The 27,734-nt window shown below is 36.4% G+C and overlaps 1 long non-coding RNA gene across 1 annotated transcript; it reads left to right on the top strand.

The window, feature by feature from the left end:
- Positions 1-4,487: 4,487 nt before the first annotated feature.
- Positions 4,488-6,269, top strand: LOC105376067 (uncharacterized). Its single transcript, XR_929701.3, has 2 exons — positions 4,488-4,824; positions 6,027-6,269. It is a non-coding gene; the product is annotated as an uncharacterized LOC105376067 (long non-coding RNA).
- Positions 6,270-27,734: the final 21,465 nt, after the last annotated feature.

Raw genomic sequence — 27,734 nt, 5'->3', positions numbered from 1 at the left:
TGTTGACTTGAGATATTTCTGATGTGGATATTTAGTGCTATACATTTCCCTCAATGCTATTTTAGCTGTATCCCAGAGATTCTGGGACATTGTCTCTTTGTTCTCATTAGTTTCAAATAACTTCTTGACTTCTGCCTTAATTTCATTTTTTACCCAGTAGTCATTCAGAAGCAGGATGTTACATTTCTATGTAGTTGTGTGGTTTTGAGTGAGTTTCTTAATTTTGAGTTCTAATTTGATTGTACTGTGGTCTGAGAGACTATCAAGATTTTAGTTATTTTGCATTTGCAGAGGAGTGTTTTACTTCCAATTATGTGATCGATTTTAGAGTAAGTGCCATGTAGCTCCAAGATGAATGTATATTCTGTTGTTTTTGAATGGAGAGTTCTGTAGATATTTATCAGGTCCACTTGATCTATAGCTGTTTGAGTCCTGAATATCCTTGTTAACTTTCTGTCTTGATAATTTGTCTAATATTGACAGTGGGGTGTTAAAGCCTCCCACTATTATTATGTGAGAGTCTAAATGTCTTTGTAGGTCTCTAGGAACTTGTTTTATGAATCTGGGTCCTCTAGAATTGGGTGCATGTGTATTTAGGATAGTTACCTCTTCTTGATGAACTGAATACTTAACCATTATGTAATTCCCTTCTTTGTCTTTTTTTATCTTTGTTGATTTAAAGCCTGTTTTCTCAAACACTAGAATTGCAACCCCTCCTTTTCCTGCTTTCCGTTTGCTTGGTAAATTTTCCTCCCTCTGTATTTTGAGCCTATGTGTGTCTTTACATATGAGATGGTTCACCTGAATACAGCACACTGGTGGGTCTTGACTATCCAGTTTGCCAGTCTATGTCTTTTATTTGGGACATTCAGTCCATTTACATTTAAGGTTAATATTCTTATGTGTGAATTTGGTCCTGTGATTATGACGCTATCTGGTTATTTTGCAGACTTGTTAATGTTGTTGCTTCATAATATTATTGGTCTGTGTACTTTATTGTGTTTTTGTAGTGGCCAGTAATGGTTTTTCCCTTCCATATTCAGTGATTCCTTTACGAGCTCTTGCAAGGCAGGCTTGGTTGTGATGAATTCCCTCAGTATTTGCTTGTCTGAGAAGGATTTTATTTCTTCTTTGCTCATGAAGCTTAGTTTGGCCAGATATGAAATTCTGAGCTGGAAATTCTTTTCTTTAAGACTGTTGACATGAAGTCCTTGCCCATGCCTATGTCCTGAATGGTAATGCCTAGGTTTTCTTCTAGGGTTTTTATGGTTTTAGGTATAACGTTTAACTCTTTAATCCATCTTGAATTGATTTTTGTATAAGGTGTAAGGAAGTGATCCAGTTTCAGCTTTCTACATATGGCTAGCCAGTTTTCCCAGCACCATTTATTAAATAGGGAATCCTTTCCCCATTGCTTGTTTTTCTCAGGTTTGTCAAAGATCAGATAGTTGTAGATATGCGGCGTTATTTCTGAGGGCTCTGTTCTGTTCCATTGATCTATATCTCTGTTTTGGTACCAGTACCATGCTGTTTTGGTTACTGTAGCCTTGTAGTATAGTTTGAAGTCAGGTAGTGTGATGCCTCCAGCTTTGTTCTTTTGGCTTAGGATTGACTTGGTGATGTGGGCTCTTTTTTGGTTCCATATGAACTTTAAAGTAGTTTTTTCCAATTCTGTGAAGAAAGTCATTGGTAGCTTGATGGGGATGGCATTGAATCTGTAAATTACCTTGGGCAGTATGGCCATTTTCACGATATTGATTCTTCCTACCCATGAGCATGGAATGTTCTTCCATTTGTTTGTATCCTCTTTTATTTCCTTGAGCAGTGGTTTGTAGTTCTCCTTGAAGAGGTCCTTCACATCCCTTGTAAGTTGGATTCCTAGGTATTTTATTCTCTTTGAAGCAATTGTGAATGGGAGTTCACTCATGATTTGGCTCTCTGTTTGTGTGTTGTTGGTGTATAACAATGCTTGTGATTTTTGTACATTGATTTTATATTCTGAGACTTTGCTGAAGTTGCTTATCAGCTTAAGGAGATTTTGGGCTGAGACAATGGGGTTTTCTAGATATACAATCATGTCGTCTGCAAACAGAGACAATTTGACTTCCTCTTTTCCTAATTGAATACCCTTTATTTCCTTCTCCTGCCTAATTGCCCTGGCCAGAACTTCCAAAACTGTGTTGAATAGGAGTGGTGAGAGAGGGCATCCCTGTCTTGTGCCAGTTTTCAAAGGGAATGCTTCCAGTTTTTGCCCATTCAGTATGATATTGGCTGTGGGTTTGTCATAGATAGCTCTTATTATTTTGAAATATGTCCCATCAATACCTAATGTATTGAGAGTTTTTAGCATGAAGGGTTGTTGAATTCTGTCAAAGGCTTTTTCTGCATCTATTGAGATAATCATGTGGTTTTTGTCTTTGGCTCTGTTTATATGCTGGAATACATTTATTGATTTGCGTATATTGAACCAGCCTTGCATCCCAGTGATGAAGCCCACTTGATCATGGTGGATAAGCTTTTTGATGTGCTCCTGGATTCGTTTTGCCAGTATTTTATTGAGGATTTTTGCATCAATGTTCATCAAGGATATTGGTCTAAAATTCTCTTTTTTTGTTGTGTCTCTGCCCGGCTTTGGTATCAGAATGATGCTGGCCTCATAAAATGAGTTAAAGCAATGGCAACAAAAGACAAAATTGACAAATGGGATCTAATTAAACTAAAGAGCTTCTGCACAGCAAAAGAAACTACCATCAGAGTGAACAGGCAACCTACAAAATGGGAGAAAATTTTTGCAACCTACTCATCTGACAAAGGGCTAATATCCAGAATCTACAATGAACTCAAACAAATTGACAAGAAAAAAACAAACAACCCCATCAAAAAGTGGGCGGAGGACATGAACAGACACTTCTCAAAAGAAGACATTTATGCAGCCAAAAAACACATGAAAAAATGCTCATCATCACTGGCCATCAGAGAAATGCAAATCAAAACCACAATGAGATACCATCTCACACCAGTTAGAATGGCAATCATTAAAAAGTCAGGAAACAACAGGTGCTGGAGAGGATGTGGAGAAATAGGAACACTTTTACACTGTTGGTGGGACTGTAAACTAGTTCAACCATTGTGGAAGTCAGTGTGGCGATTCCTCAGGGATCTAGAACTGGAAATACCATTTGACCCAGCCATTCCATTACTGGGTATATACCCAAAGGACTATAAATCATGCTGCTATAAAGACACATGCACACGTATGTTTATTGTGGCATTATTCACAATAGCAAAGACTTGGAACCAACCCAAATGTCCAAAAATGATAGACTGGATTCAGAAAATGTGGCACATATACACCATGGAATACTATGCAGCCATAAAAAATGATGAGTTCATGTCCTTTGTAGGGACATGGATGAAATTGGAAATCATCATTCTCAGTAAACTATCGCAAGAACAAAAAACCAAACACCGCATATTCTCACTCATAGGTGGGAATTGAACAATGAGAACACATGGACACAGGAAGGGGAATATCACACTTTGGGGACTGTTGTGGGGTGGGGGGAGGGCGGGAGGGATAGCAATGGGAGATATACCTAATGCTAGATGACGAGTTAGTGGGTGCAGCGCACCAGCGTGGCACATGTATACATATGTAACTAACCTGCACAATGTACACATGTACCCTAAAACTTAAAGTATAAAAAAAAAAGACTGTTGAATATTAGCCCCCAATTTCTTCTGGCTTATGGGTTTTCTGCTGAGGAGTCCACTGTTATTCTGATGGACTTCCTTTTCTAGGTGACATGGCTCTTAACAATTTTCCTTCATTTTGACCTTGGAGATACTGACGATTATGTGTTTTGGGTTGATCTTCTCATGGATCTTAGTGAAGTCCTCTGAATTTCCTGAATTTGAATGTTGGCCTGTCTTGCTGGGTTGGGGAAATTCTCCTGAATGATTTCCTGAAGTATGTTTTCCAACTTGGTTTCATTCTCCTCATTTCTTTCCGGTACACCAATCAGTTGTAGGTTTGGTCTTTTTACATAATTCCATAGTTCTCTGATTATTTTTCATTCCTTTTCAGTTTTTTCTCTAATCTTATCTGCCTGTCTTATTTCAGCAAGATAGCCTTTGAGCTCTGAGATTCTTTCCTCTGCTTGGTCTATTCAGTTATTTATGCTTGTGGTTGCATTGTGAAGTTCTGGTGTTGTGTTTTTCAGGTCCATCAGGTCATTTATGTTCCTCTATAAACTGGTTATTCTGGTTTACAGTTCCTATAATGTTTTCATGGTTATTAGCTTCTTTGAATTGTTTTAGAATATACTTTAACTCAGCAAAATTTGTTATTACCCACCTTCTGAAGAATACTTCTGTCAGTTCATCCACCTCAAGCCTCCACCCAGTTCTGTGCCCTTGCTGGAGAGGTGTTGCAATCATTTGGAGGAGAAGAGGCATTCTGGCTTTTTGAGTTTTCAGCATTTTTGCATTGATTCTTTCTCATTTTCATGAGCTTATCTATCTTCGATCTTTGAGGCTGCTGATCTTTGGAAGGGGTTTTTGTGGGGCCATTTTTGTGGATGTTTTTGTTGTTGTTGTTTTCTGTTTGTTTGTTTTTCTTTCAACAGTCAGACCCCTCTTCCTTAGGGCTGCCGCAGTTTGCTGGGGGTCCACTCCAGACCCTATTCACTTGGTCCCTCCCCTACCTGGAGGTGTCACCAGTGGAAGCTGCAGAACAGCAAGGATGGCTGCCAGCTCCTTCTTCTTTGAGCTCCATCCCAGAGGGGCACTGATGTGATGCCAGCAGGAACACTCCTGTATAAGGTGCCTGGAGACCCCTGTTGGTGGTCTCAATCAGTTAGGGAGTATGTACAGGATCGGGGACCACTTAACAAAGCACTCTGGCTGCCCCTTGGCAGAGAGGGTGCACTGCACTGGAGGGAATCTCCCTTGTCCAGAATGTCCAGACCCTTCAGAGCCAGCAGGCAGGAAAGACTAAGTCTGCTGAACCGCAGAGACTGTGGCTGTCCCTCCCCACAGGAGTTCTGCCCAGGAAGATCAGAGTTCTGTCCATAAACCTCTGGCTGGAGTTGGTGAAATTCCCACAAGGGGGCCCCACCCAATGAGTAGGGATGGATCCAGGTTCCGCCTAAAAAAGCAGTCTGGCCATGATCTGCCACAGCTGCTGTGCTCCCGGTCTAAACCTCCCTGTCTCCCCAGCACCACCAGGGGAAAACAGCCAACTGATGCCACAGTGATAGCAACCACCCCTTCCCCTGGGAACTCAGTCATCTTAGACAGTCTCCAGTCTGCTGTCACTGGCCACAGCCTGAGTGGCGATGAGAGTCTGCACAGCTCTGTGCTTGGCACCCAAGGCCCTGGTGGGTGGGCTCACAAGGGGATCTCTTGATCTGTGAGTTGCACAGATCCATAGAAAAAGCATGGTTCCTCAGGAAAGGGAGCACAATCACTCACTGCCTCCCTTGACTGGGGGTGGGAGTGCCCCTTGCCCCATGCAACTCCCAAGTGAGGCATTGCTCCACCCTGCTTTTCCTTGCTCCCTGTGGGTCAGGCCAATCACCTTGTCAGTCCCAGTGAGAGAATCTGGATACCTCAGATGAAGGTGCAGAATTCACTCGCCATTTTTGTTCTTCTAGATGGGAGTCACAGACCACAGCTGCTTCTAATTGGCCATCTTGGCACCTCCTCATTTAACCTTCTTTTCTCATCTAAAGGGGATAAAGGATGAAACTGTCCCAAAGAAAAGTTTATAAACCAATTAAGGGAGAAAATAAAATTCAACTAGGCTTGCAGAATAATCAGTGGCAATCATGAAATCCACATCCCAATTTGGCCTACTTCCTTGTAGCTAGTTACTTCTTACTCCCACAAGATAGTGTAGCCCTTGTCACAAGACTGTGTTCCTTTTCTTTTCTATAGATAAGATCTAAGGCACGTGAGATGATATGCTTTCTGTTTGAGTTTCTCCTTTATGTTACACATACTGATAAAATTGTTGATGCCAGTTGATCTGAAGGTCCCAGCAAGGAGCCGACTCACAGAAGAATGCAGTTTTCACATCGTGATGATTTAATCTTCCTTGACCTGACCAATTGACAACCCCAATTCTCCAGAACCTCACCCGCCACAATCCCCTTAAAAACCCTGGCCCAGAACCCCTCAAGCAGACAGATTTGAAGCTTGAGGATTCCTTCATCTCTTTGCCCAATGGCATTGTGATTATTAAACTCTTTTTCTGCTGCAAATTATGATGTCTCAGTGTATTGGTCTATTGCTGCTCAGTGGGCATATGAATCTGGCAGTCCTGTAATAGGGACAAAAGATAAACTACTGGCAAAACACTCGTAAAAGTCATAACCTAAGACATAGGCCCACTGAAAGGCGGATATTCAATCAGAGCACTATAGAACATATTTCTCTGCTCATACCATAAAATTTAAACCAACATGACTCCAATATAAGGAGACAGACAAAAGAGCTATAAGAAACAGACACTGTTTGAAGATGAGTACTTAAGGAAACCTAAAGTTAAGGGAGGAGACAAAAACAAGGACACTAGAGGAATTTGAAACCTTCAGAAACTTGAGCTATAACAAATATTAAATGCAGTTCAACTCCAAGACAGATTAACATATATCCTCAATTAACTTTATCTCAGTATCAATTTATCTCAGCATCAATTTATCTCAATATCTATTATGGATACCACATGTCTGGCTCTCAACAATGGCAACAAAATTACAAAACATGGTAAAAGACAAGAAAAAAATTAACAATCTGAAGAGACAGGATGATCATCAGAACAAGACTCAGTGATGATGATGCATATTTTGGAAATAGCAATCAAGAAATTTTACATAACTATGATTAAGATGTTAAGGACACTAGTGGAAAATGTAGAAAATATTCAATAAAAGATGATTAGTATAAGCAGAGAGATGAAAATTCTAACAAAGAACCAAAAGAAAAGGCTAGAAATTAAAATAACGCCAATAGATTTTTAAAAAATGCTTTCAATGGTTTCATTAGTAGACCAGACATGTTTGGGGAAAGAATTGGTGAAACTAAAGATAGGTCAAAAATACATTTTAAAACAAAGTGCCAAGAAAAAATAAACGGAAAAAAAAAAGTGAAGGACATCAAAGACCCGCTGGGCAGTCTCTAAAGTTGAACAAAATGGGAAACTGGAATAGCAGAAAGACGAGAAAGAGAGAAATGAGGAGAATCTATCTAAATGAGTAATGATCAAGAAATTTTAAAGCATAAGGACATGAAACAAACAACCGGTCCAGGAAGCTCAGAGAATACAATTCATGACAAACAACAAAAATACAGCACCAGACATAGCATTTCCTATATGTAGAAGAAAATAAAATAAATCAATAAATAGACAAAGAGAAAATCTTGACAGAATCTGGAATGAAAACTACATTCCTTGTAGAGAAAAAAGAGCAAGGATTTCAGCCCACTTCCAGTAAGAAACCAGGCAAGAAAGGAGAGAGTTGCGGGAAATGTTTAAAGTGTTAAAGGAATAAATGCACCAACTTAGAATTCTACATCTAGCAAAATTATACTTCAAAAGCAGAGGGGAAATCAGAATTTACCAGACGATAAAACACTAACGGAATATATTGCCAGAAAACTTTCCTGCAAATGTGTTAAAAGAGGTTATTCATGGAGGAGAAGAATGATATGATCAGAAAACTGTATTTACAATAAGAAAGCAAGTATGTTGAAAAAGGAAAAAAAATGTTTTATTTTTCTTATTCTAAATCTTTTTAAACTACATGTTTGTTTAAAGTAATATTAGTAAATGTTTTGGGCAATTACAGCATGTGGGTAAGTGAAATGCCTGATGGTTATGTTACAAAAGATATGAAGGATGAACTGGGACTATTCTATTAATGTGTCCAGAATTGGTGGGTTCTTGGTCTCACTGACTTCAAGAATGAAGCTGCAGACCCTAGTGGTGAGTGTTACCGTTCTTAAAGATGGTGTGTCCGGAGTTTGTTCTTTCTGATGTTTGGACGTGTTCGGAGTTTCTTCCTTCTGGTGGGTTTGTGGTCTCGCTGGCTTCAGGAGTGAAGCCGCAGACCTTCGCGGTGAGTGTTACAGCTCTTAAGGCAGCACGTCTGGAGTTATTCATTCCTCTCGGTGGGTTCCTGGTCTCACTGGCCTCAGGAGTGAAGCTGCTGACCTTCCTGGTGGTTGTCACAGCTCATAAAGGCAGTGTGGACCCAAAGAGTGTGCAGCAAGATTTACTGCAAACAGCAAAAACACAAACCCTCCACACCACGGAAACGGACCCAAGCCGGTTATCACTGTCCCTTGTGGCAGCCTACTTTTATTCCTTCACCTGACCCCACCCACATCCTGCTGATTGGTCCATTTTGCAGAGAGGTGATTGGCCTGTTTTGACAGGGTGCTGATTGGTGCATTTACAAACCTTGAGCTAGACACAGAGTGCTGATTGGCGCATGTACAATCCTCCAGCTAGACACAAAAGTTCTCCAAGACCCCACCTCACTGGGGAGCCCAGCTGGCTTGCCTAGCGGATCCCGCGCTGGGGCCGCTGGGGGAGCTGCCCGCCAGTCCCACGCCAGGCGCCTGCACTAGTCAGCCCTTGGGTGGTTGATGGGACCAGGCGCCACGAAGCAGGGGGCAGTGCCCTTGGGGAGACTCCCGCCAGCCGCTGGGGAGTCCACGGGGGAAGGGGCAGGCGGGGAAAGGCTCGAGCATGGCGGGCTGCAGGTCCCGAGCCCTGCCCCACAGCGAGGCGGCTGAGGCCTGGCAAGAATTCGAGCCTAGAGCGGGCGGGCCGGCAGTGATGCGGAACTCAGCGCATACTCCGAGGCGGCTGGCCCTGGGTGCTAAGCCCCTCACTGCCCAGGGCCTGTGGCGCCAGCCTGACCACTCTGAGTGCAGGGCCGCCCCCATGTGTGCCGCGCAGAGCCTCAGTTCCCGCCTGTGCCTCTCCCTCCACACCTCCCCACAAGCAGAGGGAGCATGCTCCGGCCTTGGCCAGCCCACAGACGGGCTCCCACAGTGCAGCGGTGGGGCGAAGGGCTCTTCAAGCGCGGCCAGAGTGGACGTCCAGGCCGAGGAGACACGGAGAGCGAACAAGGGCTGCCATCACGCTGTAACTTCTTATTAAGGTACCTGCACTATATGTGAACTGGTGGAGTGCTATTTGAAGGTGATCTTAGATTAGTAACAAATGTGTGTTGGATACTCTGGGGAACCACTAGAATAGTTGAAAAAGAAAGTATGCTTTACAGGTAATGAGTGACATTAGGTTTGATAATGGATTTTTAGATATAATATTAATACGAAAAGTTCTAGCTACAAAAGAAAAAATGTTAGAGTTTGTTAAATTTAAAATGGAATTTTCTGCTCTGTGAAAGACTCCAGAGAGTTAAAAGACAAGCCACAAACTAGAAGAAAATATCTGTAAACCATATATCTAATAAAGTACTGGTATCTAAACATACAAATAACTCTGAAAACTGAATAATAAGAAAGCAAACAAGCCAATTACAAATGTGCATAGAATCTGAAAAGACACCTCACCCCTGCCCCCGAAATACCCATGGCAACTGGCATATAAAAATATGCTCAACAGTATTTTTTTTCTTTAGAGAAACACAAATTAAAACAATTGTAATACTACCACACATTAGTTAGAATGGCTTAAATATTACAAATTCTGGTGAAAATGTAGAGCAATAGTAGCTGTTTGCTGAAGGGAATTTTAAAAATGGTACTGCACGCTGGAAGACAGATTGGCAGTTTCTTACAAATCTAAATATCGTCTCACCACGCACTTCAGCTATCATTCTTCTAGGTATTTATCCCAATGATGTGACAATTTATATCACATAAAAATGTGAGTGTTTATCAGAGCTCTTTTTTATAATTATCAAAAATGGACAGCAACCTACATGACCTTAAACCTTAAATAAGTGAATTGATATACTGGTACATCCAGAAAAAAGAAATAAATATAAATCTACAGGAATAAATACATGAATATTCAATATTTATTGCTCTGTGAAAGAAATTAGTCAGCAAATGCCTCGTATTATATATTGCTAAATATATGACATGGTAAAAAAGGCAAAACAATATAGTATAAAAGATTAGTGCTGGCCGGGCGCGGTGGCTCACGCCTGTAATCCCAGCACTTTGGGAGGCCGAGGCGGGTGGATCATGAGGTCAGGAGATCGAGACCATCCTGGCTAACAAGGTGAAACCCCGTCTCTACTAAAAATACAAAAAATTAGCCGGGCGCGGTGGTGGGCGCCTGTAGTCCCAGCTACTCGGGAGGCTGAGGCAGGAGAATGGCGTGAACCCGGGAAGCGGAGCTTGCAGTGAGCCGAGATTGCGCCACTACAGTCCGCAGTCCGGCCTGGGCGACAGAGCGAGACTCCGTCTCAAAAAAAAAAAAAAAAAAAAAGATTAGTGCTTCCAGAGGTGAGGGGAGAGGAAGTAGGGTTAAATATGTGAAACATGAAAACAATTTTTTTACTGTACTGAAACTATTTTATATGATATTGTAATGGTGGACATAACATTATGCATTTCTCAAAATCCATAAGAGTTTTTGAGCTTGAGGAGGAAACATTAATTTATATAACTTTTAAAAAAAAACTATCCTTTAGGAAGTAGAGGGATTGCAAGATGGAATGCAGAGTGTGACAAAATATTATAACTGTATTGAAAATATATGAAACAACCTCACTGAGATGGGTGGGAAAAAATGCGTTGAAATAAGTAATTTCAGAAATGAGAGGAGACTGTAAAATTAAAGGTGAAAGGAAGGGTATACAAGCACAGTGCTCCAGTTAATAAAGTTGTTTCTCATGGAGGTATGGCGTAACGTTTCTGACATCACTGTATATATACACTGTGAATGAACAATTAAGAAAGTGAGTGATGAATGGTGGCTGGGAACAAGTAGAGGGTTATTCTTGATATTCTCCTCAAATTTCTTTAATTAATTAGTAAATGAATTAGCAAGTCCCTAATGGCCTTTAGAGTCTGCTGAAGGAGATGAATAAACAGCTGACTATTAATATAGCATAATATAATATAGTGTTTAATATAAACAAAGGGCTATGTGAGTGTGGACCAAGAGACTATTATTTTCACCTTTTATCTAAAACCTTGAAAAAGTTGGCACTTCTACCTTACCTTAGATAGTAAGCAAGAGTTAGATAAGTTGAAATGACACATTTTTCATGCAGAAAATATTACACATGAAGACATGGAGGTTCAAAATTTCCAGGTTATAGGGAAATTGCAGGATGCTGAAAAATGCAGGTTGCTGAAAGGAATGCAGTATGATGCAAGATATTTGAAGTTGGGCAAAAATAATTTTAACTTCTATTATACAGTCTGTAGAGAATGGGCAACATTGAGGGGTAACAGAAGCCTTTGTTACCCCATCTTTGAAAAATAAATAATAATAATTATCCCATTTAGATATTAAAGATTAAATAGGTTAGTGAATTCAAAGTATGCCATATAAATTCTGGCAAATAATATGTTCAAAATAAATTGTAACTTTGATTATTAAAACATATGTATACACACATGTACATATATATGTATGTGTATATGTATGTGTATGTGTGTGTGTATAACAGAATTAATTTTATATCATAGTTGAAGTAAAAGAATGGGAAGAAAAAATACTTTAATGGGCCTCCAAATAGGACAAGACTATATACATATAGTCTTGCATATATATATATATATATACACAAACACACATATAAATTAAATGTATCAATACACACACACACACACACATATTCTCAGTACATGGGGATAATCAGAAAGATGGCTACAAAAATACAACCCTCTTAGTTTTATATAACCCTTTATAAATATATAAAACCAAGAGAAGAAAGAATGCCTTCTGAAGCACAGTAAACTAACCTAAGGGGGGTAAAGTCAGAGGATTTTACTATGTTGGAACTGAATTTATTAACATAGCTATAGAAAGAGTCTGTCAATTAAAGGAGAATTAGTTGCCTATGGAAACTGAGCTACAGATGAATCTTTAAGGCATAAATATCTTTTCCACCTAAGTGGAAGTCCAATTCCTGAGGTAGGAAGTCTGGGCAAGTGAAATTGCCAGTTAAGTTGGTAAGCCTTCCTACAATAAAAATAAATGCATGTGTACATTTATATTAGCTTGATGGTGTTAAATATTCTAATCATTGAACTTTATTTTTCTGATCTAATACATACCCAGCTATCATGTGACTACATTTTGTTTTCCCATACAGATGTGCGTTTGGGTGGAAAGTATGTACTGTTTATGCTGAAGTAAGAATTTTATTTTATATAACATAGTTCTTGTTATAAATTAATAAACTAACATTCTGATTGTTTATAGTCATTGTGTGTTGAATCGGGTCTCCAAAATGAAATACTAATCCCAATACTTGTGAATGTGACCTTATTTGGAAATAGGTTATTGCAGATGTTATTTTGAAACAGGGTCATATTGAAATGGGATGGGCCCTAATTCAATGACTGGTTTCTTTATAAAGAAAGAAAATATGGACACAGAGAGACATAAAGAAATATAGGGAAGAAGGCCATGTAATGACGGAGGCAGACAGTGGGGTGATGCATGCACAAGTCAAGGAACACCAAAAATTGCTGGCAACCACCAGAAACTAGAAGACACACGTGGAACGGACTTTAAGTCAGAACTTTTCAGAAGGAACCAATCTTGCCAACACCTTGATTTCAGGCTTCTAGCTTACAGAGCTGTGAGACAATAAATGTTTGTTTTTTTTTTAAGCCACCTATATTGTGATACTTTGTTATGGCAGCCCTAGAAAGCTAATACAATAGTCAAAAGGAAATAAATTATCTCCCTGTAGCCTAAAACTTTAAAAGAATTTTTTTTTCCCAGAGGCCTTTTCTTTCATTTGTTGGTTTTGGTTTCTATACAATAGATCAAACATCTTCACTAATAGTTTTCTTAGACATTATTTTTGGAAACATTTTTAAAGGACTCATGGAAATCTATAATCTATGCTGATTGACTACTTCCATGTAAAGAATTTGATATTTTTCATAGTTACTACTGGCTGTTGCTGTGCTATTCCTAATTGTCTTGAATGTTGCGTATGTAGCATGAAATCCCAATTTTTATTGAAGTAGGATATATATATATATAAAACTCTTCTATGGTTGTCTTCAAGCTGGAGCCTATTTGTTAGCACTGCAGGGCATCGTGTGTGTGTGTGTGTGTGTGTGTGTGTGTGTGTTGTAGAAGCTACTATATGAGAAATGTGGAGATACGCCTTTAGTTCAATTCTTTAGCTGCTAACTAATTTAGAGTTCTTACTGTTGTTTTAGTCAAGAAATAATGAAATATATCATCAATAAAAAGTTAAAGGAACAAGGTGAATCAGTCCAATGGGAGAATCTAAATCTTCCCAGGGATCTGTCCAAATCCATAAAGAGAGTACCATTTCATAGGTAACAGCAGGGGATTAAAGACTGAAGCAGTTTGCTGCAGGCTATGAATGACCTGATCCCTTAATCCATCTGTCTTTTTATATGAGAATGTTATGCTAATTAGCTGAGTAAATTGTTTCCTGATGATATTAATTTTGTGCCTTTTTGTTATTCTAGGCTTTGACTTTCACTGTGATAAAAATATACGAAGGGGCATTTTCAATTTAGATGGTTCCTATCCTGATAAATTCCAACACAGCAATGTTGTGGGGGAAACATGTATAAATAGCAAACTTAATCAATCCCGAGGATAGACACAGATGACTTTAGCTTCTTATATATTCATTCCCTTTAGCTTCTAAAGCATTACATTAACACACTTGAAATGTTAAAACATAATTCAAGGAGAATTTTAGGAAATGCAATTTTCATTGCCCCATTTTCTTTGGAGAAAATCAAGACTTGAATTCATTAACATGGAGGAAGTAATGGAACAGATAGTCATGATGTGAAATCTTATTAGTAAACAAGAGCTGCATCTGAAAAAATATTGTCATTAAAAGCTATGTAGTACTTAATTGAGTTTGATATGAAATTTAGTGCTGGAAAGTTAATGACTAATGCAGCTATTTCACAGAGCTTGGTTACTGCAGGCTCCATAATGATCTCCTTCTGCTTTGGAGCAACAATGAAATTAACCTCTCTTTTGTCCTGCAGGTGTTGTGTTCTGATAATGCATATCCTTTACAAGTTTGGGTAAATTATTTGCTTTGCATATAAATTAACTCCAAAGCTGAATCAACATTAGAATAATAAAAATGTAGAGAATATTTTTATTCCAAGGAAGCAAAGATTTATAGCAAAATATATCCAAATCCTAGATGCAATTTCAGGAGGATAGATTTAAAAATATTTATCATACTCCAAAAAGAAAAAGGAGAAAGAAAAAAGGATAAATACATACAATTGAGAGAAAGGAGGAATGGTTTTGGAAAATACAATATTATGTTATTATTGTTACATTAGGGAGAAAATAATTGAGAATCGATACATTTGTTTTTCAGTATAAAAACAAAAAGATGGCACTTATTTAACAATTCTTAAGTGATGTCTTCTGAGCTCCACTTTATTGGGTATGTATTGTTCCTAAGCTAAAATCTAATTTCAAAATATTACATATTACAGGTGTAGTGTTGTCTTGGTCTGTGTTGTGTTGCTGTAACAACACCTGAGACTGGGTAATTTATTAAGAAAAAAAGGTTTATTTAGCTTATGGTTCTGGTGGCTGGAAAGTCCAAGACTATGGCATTGGCATCTGTTGAGCTTCTGATGAGAGCCACATGCTATGTCACAGCAAGGCAGAGAAACAAAATGGAAATCAGGCAAATCATTGCTTTATAAAAGAGGCAACTTTCTTTAGAATGACCGGCTCTTATGAGAACTAATCCATTATCATGAAAAATAACCCAGTTTCACCAGAAAGTTATTAATTTGTCTTAATGACCTAATCACCTCTTCAAAGCACGATCTCCTAACACCTTACATGGGAAATTAAATTTCAACATGAATTTTGGAGAGAATAACCCATGTCCAAACTATAGCAAGGGTAAAGACCCCAAATTTACTTAGACATGGGGATTAATAATCATGTGTCATTGCCAATAAACGTTTTCTTTCTTTTGCACTTCCAAAGAATTTTTTCACCACCTATTTTCCTCTATGTTTTTCTTTCTCTAGTATTTTTTCTCTAAAAATTTGTGCTCGTGTAAATAATTTGCAAATGCAACTTTTTTCTTCTTTGAAATGATAGCTAAATTCAAATTACTTTTATCTTATTCAAAATTCAGAGAAAAATTCAGAAGTGACCTATTAGATGTTTGAGAATGTGCTATACTACATCAGGTGCACAAGTTCCTGTGAATAAGAAGCAAAAAAGCTAGCACTTTCCCTACTTCTGTTTTTAAAGAATAAGCTTATCAATGGATATTGAGGAAAAAAACTAGTAATATTTAAATGGTAAAATGGGTATGGTAAAATAATATTATGAGCATTTTTTCAAGTAATACATTTTGAACTTTAAGTTTTCTTCTGTTAATTTTATCTGTTTATAGGAATAATCCTGTTTTGTTCACTTCAGTATATTCACTATTCCTTTCCCTTTCAGTCAAGCATTGGACATGGCCTTGATATTGCTGGTGATTACCCATAGGGCTCAATGTTCATCTTTTGTTTCTAAATTCCAAAAGCAAAGTTGATTCTAAAGGATGATAATAATCATTAATAATTCATAGAATACCCATCTCCAAAACAGAATCAGGAATGCTATAGACAATAATAAGCACACATTAAACCAACTGGGCACAGTGCCCAGAAAATCAGCCAAGTACACACAATAGGCAAGAAAAGAGTTTGTATGTGTGTAAGGAGAAATAAGAAAGGGAAAGCAATGCATAAAAGACTTCCAAACAGAACAACCAGGGAGTCAACAGATTTTCAAACTTTCACAGAAACCACAAATATTTTGAAGTCATTTCTGCTGGGTCTACTAACTGTCTTACAATGTAAGATAGCCATGAACCCCAATGGAAGAAGTAGAAGCAAATTGAGTATATTCTAAAAAATTCAAAATTTGTAGGCATATTAAGTTTTAGGTTTTACAAGCTTACAAGTGGTGAATTACAAGACCACAATATAGGTGTAGGTTTATGGGCTTTTTTATTTGTGATGATGACTTAAACCAACCTTCTTTTTTCTATATGATTTGTTGAAATTAAAGCACTGTACATGTGATTATGACAAGGAACAAGGAGTCTCATGTATATGTTTTCTTGTATTATAAAACAGCACCTGAACTTTTTCATGTCAGATCTCTGCTGGCAAATTAAAGGAGGAAAATACCCCCATGAACTGAAGAAACCTATGGAAGTTAGCTTATTGAAATGCTGCCAGAGGCTTCATTTAGAGGGGTTTTTATAGGTAGTAGGTCTAAAGGATACTAGCAAACAAAAAATGCTAACAACATTTTTTTTTCCCAAGGGAGAAGTACCCCACCAAATTTATTCCATGTAGGCCTGAGGGTTGGATACTAATTTACTTACCATGTATTTATTATAAAACACTACTTAGGCAGGTGTGACCAAGCTATAATTGGCAAGAAACCAGGGATGTACATTTGCTTTTGTTATTATAGCTAAACTAGAAGAAGACTAAATCCTTTAATAGGAATAAAAAGTTAACACAATGATTTAATTTAGTTCTACTTAGTATAGATAACTTTTGGTAGAGCTTCAGGAACTTACTATATATTTTAGCCCTTAATTTGTAATGAAGGCATTGACAGTATAAATCTTGGGATAAACTAGGTAAATAAATTACTTTTTTTGAATATGAATGTTCTTTTTTATTTATCCTGGAGTCATATTCAGTGAACTGATAAATGCATTTTGTTAAACTGACACCTAGATTTCCAGGAGAATATACTCAAATGATAAAATATTTATATCAAGAAAATAACTTTTACTCCATGACATTATATTATTTATCAGATATGAGTGTCATTAAAATTCATTTTCAAACTGTGTAAAAGAGAATGATTCCTATGCCAATGTTTTCTTACAGTGTGAAATCTTATATTGATAAAAGTACAATATTTATATATGAAATTTTGGAAAGCTTTGAGCATAAAGTTCTCAGTCACATCATAACATTTTCTCTGACAGTGTGTGTGTCTTAGGGTAGGGAAAGAGAGTGGTTGAATGTCCATATCTTACTAACTAAGATGGTATGCCCACTGTCTTAACAATTTACTTCCTGTATTGACTCGACTAATTAGGCTGCCATAACTTTATTTCTTAATTGTTAATATGTTGGGGAAATTATCAATAAGTATAGAAAATGACAAAGTTATTGTTTCTGAAAAACTATGAAAAAGAGGATAGCCTTACTTATACAGAGCCTATTAAAAAGAGAGTACTTTTTCTTCTTAAAATGCATAGCTTGACCAGCTCCATTTAACACTGTTTTTTAAAAGATGTGTTAATATCCTAATGGTATAAATGAATTCAGTCATGACTAGTTGAGTCAAAGAGATTTAAAAATTATTTGAACTGTTTTATCAAATTTCTAGCTCATTGTTTAGTGCTAGCTATTCACAAAACAAATAGTTAAGTTCCTAAGATTATTGTTGCAAACTGTGGGAACTAAAAGTCTTTAATTACATTACTTTGAAAGCAAAAAGTGATTTCCATGCAAAATATTTTAAAGGATTTCTACCCAATGTCAAATTTTCTCATCTATTCATTTAATAAGCATTGATTAAATATCTGTTGTGTCTTAAAAATCGATGATGAATAACATTCTAAACTTCAGCAAGCATATGGTTGAACACTAAATAAAGAACAAAAACCAAAGTAATTACAGTAGTGTTTCAGTGATATATTACCACCAAGAACAGAGAGCTATAAAAATCACTGGAAGAACATCTAACTGAATCTTTGGGGAATGAAGAAAAGCTTTCTTTGGAAAATAACCTCTAATCTGATATCTAAAGGACCAGTAGGAGTTATCCATAAAAAGGAGGAAGAAAATTCCAGGTAGTTGAAATGGCTTGCTGAATTGCAAGGGCACAGATTACTAAAATGTTTAGTAATACTCATGGTAATTTTGTTTATATTTTTGAAACAGATATCATGTAGTCAACACAATAGGTCAAATCAGGACCTTTGGTACACATAACCCTTTTTCTGTAAGGTGTTGATAGGTATCATTTGAATAAAATTGGCGATATTTAGTGTTTATTGGTGTTTGGGAAAAACATGTGCTTCCTAAAATTTTAGCATATTTTCCTATATAATTTCTCATTAATAAATTAATGCACAAAGCAAATATCCAGGAGGTGTTAATAGTAAGCAGTAATTTCCAAAATTGCGTGACCAAGAAACTTTTTACTCATAGAATAACTGAAATACTTTTCTCAGGAATATACTTTGAGAAATATTGCTTAAATACATGTGGAAAAAAAGTGTTCTAAATCCAAGTTCTTTATGATGGAGATTACTGAATCCAAGTATTCTAAATCCAAGTTCTTTATGGTGGAGATTACTGAAAAAGTATGGGAGAAAATTATACATTTTGATAGAAAATCGTAAGAATTGAATGGTGTTTGCCCAAAAGGTTTGTCCACCCAGAATCTCACAGTCTGACCTCAATCGTAATAAGCATCTTTGAAGATGTAATAAGGTAATAAAGTGTGCTCATCCTCTATTACAATAAATTCTAAATCTAATGAGTGTCCTTATAAGAGATAGAATAACAGAAAGACACAGAAAAAGTGGGGAGGCATGTGAAGACAGAATCAGAGAGATTGGAAAGACAAAAACCACTAAGAATTGCTGACAGCATGGAATGGGTTTTTTCTGGGTCTCCAGTGGAAACCAATACTGCCAACACATTGATTTGTCTTCTGGCCTCCAGACCTGTGAGAGAATCAATTTCTGTTGTTTTAAGTTATCAAGTTTGTTGTAATTTGTTATGACAACCCTGGAAACCTAATACAACAATGTGATGCTTTAGAACCAGTTGTGTTCGAACAAATTTAAGCCTTAACTCATATTCTTACCAAACAGTCCCCAATGAATTATGGATGTCCTTTGATTTCATGTCCTTGCATTATCCTCCCAACCAGACAATGATTAGCCTTGTGAATTAGTTGAGCCATGAGAATGCAGCTACAGAGACACTGTATAAGTTTCAGTCCTAGGCTTAAGGAAGCTTTATAGCTTTTGTTTACTCTGTCATTTACCTTGAGCCACTGTGCAAAGATGTCTAGGTTAGCGTCCTTGTGGATGAGACACCTTATGATGAAAAAGACCAGGAGGAATGAAAGACTGGGAAGATAGAGAGGAAGACCCAGTTAGTTTCTAGTCATTCCAGCACAACATATGAATGGGGCCAGCTAGGATCCTCCAGTCCCTATGGAGCTGCCTCTAAATACAAACATATTAAATAGTCCAGCAGAAGACACCATCTAGGGAAGAGATGAGCCACCCAGCTGAGTTCAGCCCAGATTGAAGAATCATGAGCAGGTCCATCTGTGCTAGTTAGCTGTTTTAAGCTGCTATGTTTAGACTGGTTTATTATGCAGCAATAGAAAGCTGTAACCATCTAATATGATTATCAAGTATGTGTTTTTAAAACAAAGACAAAAAAGATGAGCAGATATAAGATTAGGTTGTGTGCTGTAGCAAAGGTGGATTTGACCTTTTTTTTTATTATTATACTTTAAGTTTTAGGGTACATGTGCACATTGTGCAGGTTAGTTACATATGTATACGTGAGCCATGCTGGTGTGCTGCACCCACTAACGTGTCATCTAGCATTAGGTATATCTCCCAATGCTATCCCTCCCCCCTCCCCCGACCCCACCACAGTCCCCAGAGTGTGATATTCCCCTTCCTGTGTCCATGTGATCTCATTGTTCAATTCCCACCTATGAGTGAGAATATGCGGTGTTTGGTTTTTTGTTCTTGCGATAGTTTACTGAGAATGATGGTTTCCAATTTCATCCATGTCCCTACAAAGGACATGAACTCATCATTTTTTATGGCTGCATAGTATTCCATGGTGTATATGTGCCACATTTTCTTAATCCAGTCTGTCATTGTTGGACATTTGGGTTGGTTCCAAGTCTTTGCTATTGTGAATAATGCCGCAATAAACATACGTGTGCATGTGTCTTTATAGCAGCATGATTTATAGTCATTTGGGTATATACCCAGTAATGGGATGGCTGGGTCAAATGGTATTTCTAGTCCTAGATCCCTGAGGAATCGCCACACTGACTTCCACAATGGTTGAACTAGTTTACAGTCCCACCAACAGTGTAAAAGTGTTCCTATTTCTCCACATCCTCTCCAGCACCTGTTGTTTCCTGACTTTTTAATGATTGCCATTCTAACTGGTGTGAGATGATATGTCATAGTGGTTTTGATTTGCATTTCTCTGATGGCCAGTGATGATGAGCATTTTTTCATGTGTTTTTTGGCTGCATAAATGTCTTCTTTTGAGAAGTGTCTGTTCATGTCCTTCGCCCACTTTTTGATGGGGTTGTTTGCTTTTTTCTTGTAAATTTGTTTGAGTTCATTGTAGATTCTGGATATTAGCCCTTTGTCAGATGAGTAGGTTGCGAAAATTTTCTCCCATGTTGTAGGTTGCCTGTTCACTCTGATGGTAGTTTCTTTTGCTGTGCAGAAGCTCTTTAGTTTAATTAGATCCCATTTGTCAATTTTGGCTTTTGTTGCCATTGCTTTTGGTGTTTTGGACATGAAGTCCTTGCCCACGCCTATAAACCACTGCTCAAGGAAATAAAAGAGGACACAAACAAATGGAAGAACATTCCATGCTCATGGGTAGGAAGAATCAATATCGTGAAGATGGCCATACTGCCTAAGGTAATTTACAGATTCAATGCCATCCCCATCAAGCTACCAATGACTTTCTTCACAGAATTGGAAAAAACTACTTTAAAGTTCATATGGAACCAAAAAAGAGCCCGCATCACCAAGTCAATCCTAAGCCAAAAGAACAAAGCTGGAGGCATCACACTACCTGACTTCAAACTATACTACAAGGCTACAGTAACCAAAACAGCATGGTACTGGTACCAAAACAGAGATATAGATCAATGGAACAGAACAGAGCTCTCAGAAATAATGCCGCATATCTACAACTATCTGATCTTTGACAAACCTGAGAAAAACAAGCAATGGGGAAAGGATTCCCTATTTAATAAATGGTGCTGGGAAAACTGGCTAGGCATATGTAGAAAGCTGAAACTGGATCCCTTCCTTACACCTTATACAAAAATCAATTCAAGATGGATTAAAGATTTAAACGTTAGACCTAAAACCATAAAAACCCTAGAAGAAAACCTAGGATTTGACCTTTTTTTCAGTTAAGAATTTTGATAATCTACCATACATTTTTAAATTCTTTCTTGCATTAACTTTTTCTCTGGATAAAAAATTCAGGCCACCTATAAGTAAATAGAAACAGTAGGCATAAATACACAAAAGGAAAGTTATATTAAAATTCTGCAGAAATGTAACAAGAATAAAAAAGCTGAACTGGATTTTTAGGATGTTCTACACTCAGCTTTTATGAGAAACAGACAAATGACAATCTCATGCCAAGGATTTGTTTTAAAAGGCTGTATAACAGGTAGACCATTGACTAACACATGTTTTACCACCTTTATCTTCAGAGTACTGCAGACAAATGATATTCATAATGACTCTACACGATATTGAAATGGTATCTGAATATTAACAACTAAATTCTGACCAGTTATGATTTAAAACATTTAGCTATTTATTGATTGTTATTTTTTTAAAAACTTGGAATGTGCATTATATGTATATTTAACTATAAAGTCACTGAACATTTAATTAACATATGTCCTGTTTTTCAATCATTACTAGGAGTAATCTTTATAGAAATACAAGTAGCAACCATTACCACAAATGAATTCTCATAAGAAACAGTTATTCAAGTCTTTTTCTCTCTCTCTTTGTCAAACGCATGTGCACACACACACACACACACACACACTTTGTTTGTATGCCTGTGGATTGTGAGAGAGAGAGAATGAGCCTGTAAATACAGAATTATATCAGAATTCTTGTAGCAAATAAGCTATCAGGAAAATTGAGCCAACTTAGTCTTGGTCTTGTGAAGGACATTTTCTCTTTTCTGACCTAGTCTTTTCTATTAAGTGAAAGATGTCACACAATGACCACTCATCTATTTTTGATGGATACATGAATTGTACATTACATGGAAAGAAGAGAGAAAATAATCCTAATTTTATATAATGTACAGGTTAGAAAGCCTGATACAGACTAATATAAAATTAATGCTTTGAATAAATTTGTTTATACTATTGCTCTGTTAGAGTGTTGCTACTTTTGGTTTGTTTTTCAATTGTTTTTCCAATATGTATTTAGTTTGATTTTTAATAATCTTATCTCTTTTTTCTTTTCTTCTCCTTTACCTCTTGCTCCTCTTCCTTATTCTCCTTGCCTTCCTCCTCAGTCTCCTCATCCTCATCTTCCTCCTCATCCTCTTTCTTTGTTTTCATTACAAAATAAAATAAGCAATCAGAAAAGTTCATACAGATATTGTTACTTATCTTTAGGGACCTGGATCTAACTTAGTGCTGTTGCTTCTGTTTCTTCTCTTTTGTCCTCCTCTTCTTTTTCTCCTTTGTGTTCTGTTTTACTTTTTAAAAATAGATGCCACAACTCTGATTTTTAATCTGATTGTGTAAATGATCCTTAATAGTAAAATCAATTTTAATCTTATAAAACAGAAGCACAGCAAAGCATTTTGCAGAATTTACCATAAAGTAAATAATAACCATTCCTAGTATGATAATGCTGCAACTATTTTTCTTTCATCCTCTGCAACATTTTTATCTGACACAGTCTCTGCTGTTTCCAAGTTCAACATCCTGCAGCAAGCCTTGCCAGCAATACAGAATACTTTCAATTAGTAGTTCTCTACTTCTCTGGTCACTAAGCAACTGACCTGTGGTGAAGAATACATAATGATCTGCATAGACACCTTAGAGCAATAGAAAGTAGAAGCTTCACAAGTTTCATTTGCTCTCTTGTGTTGATGTTACAATAACCAGTTAAATGCATGGAAATATTTGATAGTAGTTTGCTATAATAAACTTTAATAAAGATTAAAAGAAGCCTCAGAGAAAGGTAGAAATAAACACAACATAAAATATTGTATTTGTCATTTGTTCATGTATGTCATTTTATTGTTTATAGGGAGGGCAAGCAATCAGGTTAATATTTTATTAAATGTTTATATTCTAGCTACTGTTTAAGACAGAATTCATCAAGTAGCAGAAGTGATGGAAGGGCCAAGGGGAAGAAAGATGGACAAAACCTGAAAATTGAAAGTGCAATAAAATGAAAATTACAAATGAAAACCAGTATGCCTGAGATATACATGACTGTTTAGTAGAGTGTCTTCATGTGGGTTAAAGAAGAAAAGGAAATACCAGCTGGAATCAGCAGAACAGATTTAGCACTTGACCCTTGGATACTTTTCATTCTATTTATCTATCATATTTTTATTGGTTTGTATTCCATTGACTACTATATGCACCGACCCTCAGCAAATTCATTCAATAGAGAGGAGAGATTATATCTCCACTGTATCAGTGGAGCTGCTTAGGAACATTTCTCCTGCTTCTTGTATGTATTTTGTCCTATTTGTACATTGTATTTTATGAGCTGCTTTAGAATAGTAGAATAACTTTCCTTTATATGGTATAGAACTTTTGATATATCTCAAAGAAATTTTTAAAAAATGATCAATTGAAATGTATGTTCTCATACTGTATGTGCAAATATCAGTAGTACAAACACTAAGGATTAATGAAAATGAAAATCCTAATATATTAAACTTAGAAAAATAGACTAAATATTTACTGAAAAGAAACAGATAACCAAAATTTCGTGATACACAATGAAAAGCCTTGAGACATTAAAGAGGACTTTCACTGTCTTTGATGATGTCATCTTTTACATATTAAGTTCTTCTAGCATGGTAACTAGAACTAAACTTTTAACTTCCTTTTAAACCACACACTGAATGCATCTGTGAAAAAGACCTGCATACTACAAGATAACTTTAATTACATATCTTCTGTGGGGTCCGTGCTTTTAGTTTAGTATAGGTTTATGCAAAGTGATACTATTGGTAATGTGTAATTTAAACACAAACACAAACTAACAGGCCCTGCCGCCTATCAATATCTGGGTGATATCAGAGAAGGCCGTGTGGGAATCTAGAACTTTCTTCTCTGCCAGGTAGTTACAATGTGCCCCGTCCTTCTCCACCAGATTCCTTAGGTGTCAAAGTAAACTAAGTGAGAAGTTGGAACTTTCATCATCATCTAGTGGTAAAAAGGTCCAAGGCCTCCTGATGTTTGCCTTCCCTTCAGTGTAGGCCATAGTGGGAGCAGAAACAAGAAAAAAATCCCCCACTCTCCAAAGGTGGTTGAGCAGGGATAAATTTTTATCACCACCTAGCAATAACAAGGCACCCCCACTTTCACCATGTGTGGTGTCACAGGAGGTTTATTTCCAAGAGTTAAAATACAGAGCCTCATAGCATAATATCCAAATTACCCTAGATACATTGAAAATTACTCAGCATATCAAGCACCAGAAAAAAATCTCATCTTGAATGAGATAACACATGCCAACACAGTGATAACACATAAATTAGATTTATTCACAAGGATTTTAAAGCCACCACCATAAAAATGTTTTAATGAGCAATTGCGAATATGCTGAAACAAATGAAACAATGGAAAGCTTTACAAAGAAATAGAAGATGCCAAGAGACAAATAGAAATTTTGCCACCGAAAAATATAATTGAAACTTTAAAAAATACTTGATGGCTCAATAGGGTAATGGAGGAAATAGAGAAAAGAATAAGTGAACTTGAAAATAGGACATTAAAAATTTACTAATCCAAAGACCAGAGGGAATATAGACTGAAAATGAAAAAAAAAAAAAAAAGAACAGAGCCTCAAGGACCTATAAGACTATAGCAAAAAATCTACTATTCATGTCATCAGAGTCCTAGAAGGAAAGGCAAAAGTGGGTTGGGCTAAAAATATATTTGAAAAAATAATGTCCAAAACATTTTCGAGTTTGGCAAAAGACATACAACTACAGATTCAAGAAATGAGAAAATCTAAAATGGGACAGATACAAAAAAATCAACAAAGAAAGGTCAATTTCAGAAAACAGCAGAAGAAAAAATCTTGGAAACAGTGAGGTAAAACAATGCTTCATCTCTCCAGAAGAAAAACAATTTGAATGACAATGATTTCCTGTCAGAAATAATGGTGGCCAAAAGGAAGTGATATATTTCTCAAGTACTGCAAAACAAGAACTGTCAATCCAGAATTCTGTATTAGGCAAAAATGTCCTTTAGAAATGAAGGAGAATTAAATAAATTCTCAGAAGAAGAAAAATTAAGAATTGGTTGCAAACAGACCTACCCTAAAGAAAAGCAAAAAGTTCTTGAAACATAAAATGAATAAGGGGCCTGAAATCATCAGAAAAATGTAAGAGTAACAAAGAGCAAAAATATGAATAAGTACAACAGATTTTTCTTCTTGAGTTTTCTAAATTATGTTTGACTTTTGAATCAAAAACTGTAACATCGAAATGGTTATCAATACCTAAATGAAAAATTTAAAAAATTATATAAACAAGGATGGGTAAAGAGACTTCCAATGAGATAAGATTTTTACACTTCACTAGAAGTGTTAGATATTTTGATAGTGGTAGTGGTCACAAGAATTTACACATGTAATAAAATGACAGATGTATGCATACACATTTTTTCAATGTCAGTTTCTTGGTTTTAATGTTTTACTGTAGCTACAAAAAAAATGTAACCACTGGGGAAACTAGGTGAAGAGTATGAGAGACCTCTCTGTACTATATTTGCAACCTTCTGTAAATCTATAATAATTTCAAATCAACAGTTAAAAAATAAAAATATATCTAATAGACCAATAGTTTCATATGGAGGGCAGAATGATTTAAAAAAATGAGATATTTTGTTTATGCATACCTGTAAAGGCATCCATGAAAGGTATTTTTAAACATTTGAAATTATGTAAGTCCAATGCTGCAGGAACATGGGCATACTATAGCTTATTTTAGATGCTTTAGAAAGCCAAAGTCATCTCTGGTAAGTTCTACATTGATGATAATAACCTGAGAGACTTCTCAGTCTCTAAAATTGCACTATTTCTAAAATATAAGTAAATATTCCCTTCATCCTAAATCTTTCAAAGTTTAAGAATGTCATTGATAGTCTTTGCTTTAGAGGAAAATACAGAGATCAAGAAAAAAGGTCTGGAAAAATGAAAAAATAATTTTAAAAGCTTCCTCAGAGAGAAAGAGTTTCAGACGGATATAGTTTAACTATATTAACTCAGCCATGAATTTCTTACTTCTCTCCTAGTACCGGTTACTCTTTTGCTGAATGAATCTACCTTATGAACACAAGTTAAAAAAAAATGTACCCATGATAAGTAAAACATTATTAAATACAGCTATTTTTATAAAAGTTTCAAGTCAAAAATGGATCCATTTCTGTTCTTCTCCTTACAGGGAGTTGCTTATTCCCCATCCTTCATTAAAAGGGCCAAAAAGTATACTCATCTGTAGTAGAGAATATGCATAATGTTTATTAACTCATGCTTATTATAATGTTAACACATTATCTGCCACTCCAAGAATGTGGGCATATTTAGAAAATGTTCAATATGGTATCTATAAATTATTCTATGGCAGACTTTGATTTAATTCTTTTCATCTTCATTTTAATAACAGTGGAGTGGTTCTTAATATCATATTTTCATTATTTGCATGTCCTTTGCAAGAAGGCTTGGGAACCTATTTACCCCAAAATAAGTTCCAAACAGGTCAGACTTCTAATTGTTCATACAAATAACTAAGGATTAGAAATATAGATGCTATACAATTCTAACATAAATCTTTTGGTATTAACCCCTCACCATTGAAAACACATTAACTGACTTGTAGTGTTTGATCATTTCCACACAAAGAAGATGGATCACTGTATGTCTCTTAATATTTACATAGCCTTAAACCAGAAGATAGAACATGATTCTTCAGGAGAGTCACATGATTTCAATCAAATTATTGTAAGTATGTCATTTGAGCAGAAATAACACAATGTGCAGAATACTGCAAGTGAATTTTCTTTTCGCCAAATAGTGTGAGCTAAATCATGTTTACTATAGTGATAATATTAATTATTCTATGGATATGCTAGAATTATTCTACTGATCTTATGTTGTTTTCTGACCACATTTTCCAAAACACTTTAAATTGTGCTTTACCCTTTCATACACTTTTATTGTTTACTGATTCATTCCACAAATTAAAATTAACTAATTGGTACTAATGTGTACTGAAACAAAAAACAATAATGTCACTTCAGATTGTGACTGATTCTTAAAATATTCTCCATGGTCTTCATGGCCTAAAGGTTTTAAGTTATACACACAGTATTTCACTTAAAATATTATGGAAAGCAGCATCTGGAGCTTTAAGCAAGTTACTTAGTTTATATCTGTAGTTTATAAATCATGATG

This window comes from Homo sapiens, chromosome 9, assembly GCF_000001405.40.
Source record: "Homo sapiens chromosome 9, GRCh38.p14 Primary Assembly".
NCBI lineage: Eukaryota > Metazoa > Chordata > Mammalia > Primates > Hominidae > Homo > Homo sapiens.
Note: the sequence above shows the minus strand (reverse complement) of the source record. Positions and strands in the feature narration are given on the sequence as shown.